The 5,798-nt window shown below is 33.9% G+C and overlaps 1 annotated feature.

Annotated features, from left to right (window-relative positions):
* Positions 4,908–5,108: a silencer, noted in NCBI's record as "peak3986 fragment used in MPRA reporter construct". NCBI's record gives its function as "represses an SCP1 promoter by STARR-seq MPRAs in K562 erythroleukemia cells {active_cell/tissue: K562}" and the evidence as "EXISTENCE:reporter gene assay evidence [ECO:0000049][PMID:32103011]".

Below are 5,798 nucleotides of genomic sequence, written 5' to 3' on the forward strand. Positions count from 1 at the left end.
TGATTAAGAACATCCAGAAGCAAAGCTTGTAGTCACCTCTGTATATATGTCATTTCATATTCTTTTTGTTACAATGAGGTGCTTATTCAATCCCTTGAATACAAGTTATAGAATACTTTAACATAGGCATTATTTAAAACTTCCATTATAGTCTTTTAAAGTTGCTTTACTTTAAAATATTTATTACTTAGGCATAGAAAAAAACATAGAAATAGTATTTTTTTTAAAACCTGTAAACAACTCCAGTTTCGACAATGGATAGGTCACCCAGACAGAAAATATGAAAACAACAAACTTGAACAAAGCTATAGACCAAGTAGACCTAACAGAGACATACAGAACATTCTATCCACCAGCAGCAGAATACACATTCTTTTCAAGTGCATGTGGTACATTCGAACATTCAACAGGATAGATAATGTTAGGTGCCAGAATTTAAGCCTGAAAGCATATCAAGTATTTCTTCTGATCATAATGATGAAACTAGAAATTGATAACAGGAGGAAAGCTGAAACATTCACAAATATGCGTAAATTAAACAATGTACTCCTGAACAACCAACCATTCAGTGAAAGTAGAAATCAAAAGGGAAATTAAAAAAAAAATCTTGAGACAAATAAAAATGAAAACACAACATACCAAAACTTACAGGATGCAGCAAAAGCAGTTCTAAGAGAGAAGTTTTTAGCCATAAATGCCTGCATTAAGAAAAATAAAATGATCTTAAATAAACCACCTAACTTTACATATCAAGGAACTAGTAAAAGAAAAACAAAGCCCAAAGTAAGCAGAAGCAGGTAAATAATAAAGATCTGAGCAGAAATAAATAATATAGAGGCTATGAAAACAATAGAAAAGATCAACCATAGTAAGAGCTACTTTTCTGAAATGGTAAAATTGATAAACCTTTAGACTGAAAAAAAGATTTAAATAAACCAGAAATTAAGGAGACATTACCACTAATATAACAGAAATACAAAGGATCACAAGAGAAAAAAATGACCAGTTATATGTCAAGAAGTTGAATAACCTAAAGGAAATGGATAAATTCCTAAACATGTACAACCTACCAAGATTGAATAATGAACATAAAATCTCAACAGAAAAATAACGAGTAAGGAGACTGAATCAGAATAAAAAGTCTTATGTTGAAGAAAAGCCCAGGACCTGATAAATTCATTGCTGGGGTCTGCCAAACATTTGAAGACCTAATACCAATCCTTTTCAAACTCTTTAGGAAAATTAAAGAGGAGAGAATACTTCCAAACTAATTTGATGACGCCAGCATTACCTTGATCCCAAATCCAGACAAGGACACTATGAAAAAGAAACCATAGGCCAGTGGCCTTTTCACTGATGAACATAGATACAAAAATCTTCAACAAAATACTAGCAAGCCAAATTCAACAGTTCATTAAAAAGATCATTCACCATGATTAAGTGGAATTTATGCCTGGGTTGCAAGAATAGCTCAACGTACACAAATCTGTAAATGTAATATGCTGTATTAACAGAATTAAGAACAAAAAACATAATCATTTCAATAGATGAAGATAAATCATTTGACAAAATTCAATATCCTTTCATAATAAAAATTCTCAACATTTAGGTAAGGAAGGACTATAATTCAACACAATAAAGGCTGTATATTACAAGCCCACAGCTAACATCATACTTAAAGGGGAAAGGTTGAAAGTTTTTTCTCTAAATCTAGAACAAGACAAAAATTCCCACTCTCACCACTGTTATTCAGCGTAGTACTGGAAGTCCTAGTCAGAGTAATTAGGCAAGAGAAAGAATAAAAGGATTCAGAACTGGAAAAGAAAAAGGTAAATTGTCCCTGTTTGCAGATGACATGATCTTATATATAGAAAACCCTAAGGATTCCACCAAAGGGTGTTCAAACCAGTACATCAATTCAGCAAAGTTACAGAATACATAATCAACATATGCAAATTAATAACATTTCTATATAATAAATTATTTTTGAAAACCTGATTCCTCCTTATCTCTTTCTGGAACACTTAACAAATTTATGTTGAACGTTTTCATTTTACTTTCATGCCTTTCAATTTCTCCTTAGCTAAATTTCCTTAATCTACCTTCCAGTTTACTAATTTTATCTTCCTAACCTGAGGTTAACCTAATGGATTAAAATTCTAATTCAATGAGTTAAATAATTGCAAATTCTGAATTTTTTCCCAAATTTTCCTATTATAATTTTATAGTTGTTGTTTTATTATAGTTTTAACTTATTTTCATGTCTGATTATTTAAACCTCTATAAGATTGTGTTATTAAAAATTATTTTAGCTTTATACTTCCTGTTTGCTGATTCTATGGTGAGTTATTATTCACATGCTTTATAATGTGAGAAATTATGACTTAATCGAATGAAGTTGCACCTGTGATAATTAAGTTCAGCTTTGCATGAGCTTGTTTCCCTTGGGAATAACGTCTGGCAAATACCCTAGTTTGTCAGCCTGGGACCAATTTTATGCACATTTGTCAACATCTAAGTTTGGAGACTATATGGATAATATAAATTCTAGCCCCAAGGAAGAGATCCTTTCCCTCTCATATCCCAGGCAGATTTAGAAAACGGTCCCTTTAATTTCTCCATGCCAGAGGTTTCCTTGTTTCTAGAACACTGGAGACAGCTCTTTTAAAATTATTTCCTTCATATGGCAATTGCAATTCTAGTTCTGACCTTGAATGAACTGAAGGACATTTATCCTGTTCCTGGATGGGCATGAAATACCAATCTTGTGGTCTACCAAGTAGGACAAGTACCTAAACACATTCCCATGCACCTACACACACACACACACACACACACACACACACACGGACACACACACAGACACAGACATGGACACACATGCTCTAGAGCAGTTAGAGTTCCATTTTCTAGCCAGTATTGTAGAAATTTCAGCAGATGAGCTTTCAGGTTATTTAATTTTTTAATATTTACAAAAGTATATATAAAGCCATGTAAGCTTTACTAACTGCTATGTCACTTTATCAACAGCTTTTAGTTAGTCCTATGAATGTTGTGTAAAAAAGGCATCATTTTATGTGTTGTGATTCATCCAAGTTTTTCTGATCTTTGCCAAAGATCTACTTTCTTTACATGTTTCCATCAACAGTGGAGACTTGCTCTCTTTCTGGAATGTAATGTTATTTTTTCCTTTTGCCTCATTAAAAAGGGGAAGACTGATTTGTATTCCATGTTATTTCCAAGTGACATTTCTCTAAAACTCATTTAGTGAAGTGTATGTAATTTAATTTGAGATAGCGATGTATTTGTTATTCCAAATTCTGAAAGTATGCCTTTCATTTGTTAGGTTAATTTAAAGTATCGGCAAAAAAGTGAGTAAATTTTGTATTGGTAAATTACAGGGCACAGTAAAATTATACTAGACTCATTTGGCTATTTTTGTGGGTAAAACTGATGTTTCTTTTGGTGTTACTTGAGATGTTGATGTCATACTCCTATATCTTTTCTTTAAAACTTAATGTAGTTGTTTTTTCCATTGTTCATAACAAATTACATAACAATTTGCTTATATTTAATGACTTTTGCTCATATTTGATAATTTCTATGCTATATATATGTTCTTCTGCTGACATCTTAGAGTACATCTTCATGCCTTTTACAAATATTCCTCTTCATGATATATACCATGGAATACCATGCATCCATGAAAAAGAATGAGATCATGTCCTTTGCAGGGATGAAGCTGGAGGCCGTTTTCCTTAGCAACTAACACAGGAACAGAAAACCAATGTTCTCACTTGTAAGTCAGAGCTAAATGATGAGAACACATGGACACCTAGAGGGGAACACACACTGGGGTTCTTCAGAGGGTAGTGGGTGGAAGGAGGGGGAAGACTGGGAAAAATAACTAATGGGTACTAGGCTTAATACCTGGGTGATGAAATAATCTATACAACAAACCCTCATGACACAAGTTTACCTATGTAACAGACATGCACTTGTATCCCTGAACTTAAAGAAAAATAACTTCTAGAAAGAAAAAATCTATTTTGTAGCATTTGCCTCCTTTGGTCATATAGGGATTACAGTGTTGTATTGATTTTATGAATCATTTATTCAAGGAAGTTTTACTACAAAATCAAATTTTTTAAATGCCCTTAGGCATCATACTGCCACAAAGTACATTAATTAATGACATCTCAGATTAACTGATAAAACTAATTAAAAACTTATGAAAGAATAGATTTTGCTGTTATTTCAAGGAGGCAACATTCAGAGAGGTCAATAACAGAGATGAAATTTTGATTTCTAACAGATATGTTCCTCCACAGTATGTCACATTCACTTAGATTTAGAATAACATATATATCACATTATACATATATGTGTATATACATATGTGTGTATATGTGCATCTGTGTATATGCACACTCACAGACACATATGCACACACATAGCTACATATACCTACATTTACAAATACATTCAAGTATTATTTCTGCAGCAGAGTTTATAATTACCCAGATGTTTAAGTATTTACTAGGATTTTTCTTTAAAAAGTAAGACAAAGAAAAAGGTCCTCAGAGTTTCTATGAGTTTTTTTCCAAGAGCGCTGATCTCTACCTGGGCACTTTATTTGTTAGTTTACATGTCTCTCATTTACACTAATAGTGTATATTTTATGTTCTAGTGAATACACCCCATACCTCTTCATCTCGTATTCTTTTTAGTCAGCCGTAGAATTTTAAGTAAGCCAGTCTTCCAAGATTCATCCTTTGTGAAAGAATATTCTTGGATTAGTGGTTCTGTTGACATTTTTTCTTACTCGGTGTTAATACCCATCAACTTTCCAAGTTTATACATATTTGTTACTGGCCAGGTCCAGATCCATCCCACTTGCCTGCAGCAAGTCAGTCATTGTGACATGGGTTTTGTAAAAGAGAAAATATTTTGTTCACAAGGGAACTGAGCGAGAAAGTGGGAGAATAGCTCTCAACTCCACCTCCCTAAAGATAAGGCTTAGGGACATTTATGGGTTAGGGAAGTGGGATGGTCTAAGGTACGGGGAAAAGTAATTGGCAATGGGGATAAGTGAAGTGACAAGTTCATTCTGCCCAAGTAGAATGACCATCCAAATAGTACAGACTCTCAAAATGTAGATTTAGAAAAAGATAGATCTTCATCCTAATCCGTATGTGCCAGCTCAGCTTTTAATGTGGAGTTTTTCACTGTGGGTATTAGATTCTTGCACAGCTATTAATAGCTTTATTACTTTCTGAAATAGTCGAATATGTTCTATCACTCTTAAAAACTTTTAAAAACTCTTCACCACTTACTGTTTTAAACAAACAATGGCAGGTTCCCGGAGGCGTTTCTGGCCTGGCTTCTCAGCATGTCTCTGCTCTAACCTGAATTTGATTTTCCTTTTTTCAGTCTCATGCAGTGACTGAAGGGAATAAGATTGTGACCTCCCTTGTGACACTAAATAGCCAGAGTTCATGGCATTTCATAGGACATATGTACAGAAAATGGTGGCATCAATATGATCTGGGGGTGGAGTTTTTGGTTCTCCCACCTCAAAAAGTAATCTCTTGGGCACTTGTGCAGGCCCAGTTGAAAGATCAGCGGTCTCAACCAGTTTGAGCTGTCCAGGAGCTGGCCAAAGTTTCTGAAAAACAACTGAAGCAACTGTTACCATTGTGACTTGTGAACGTTATCTATAACATAGCCAGTGAAAAGTTTCAGCATTTAGTGATGTGTCCTTCAGCTACTGCAGCCTTCAAGTTCATGAGAAAAGG

The sequence above is a fragment of the Homo sapiens genome, chromosome 2 (assembly GCF_000001405.40).
Source record: "Homo sapiens chromosome 2, GRCh38.p14 Primary Assembly".
Classification (NCBI taxonomy): Eukaryota; Metazoa; Chordata; class Mammalia; order Primates; family Hominidae; genus Homo; species Homo sapiens.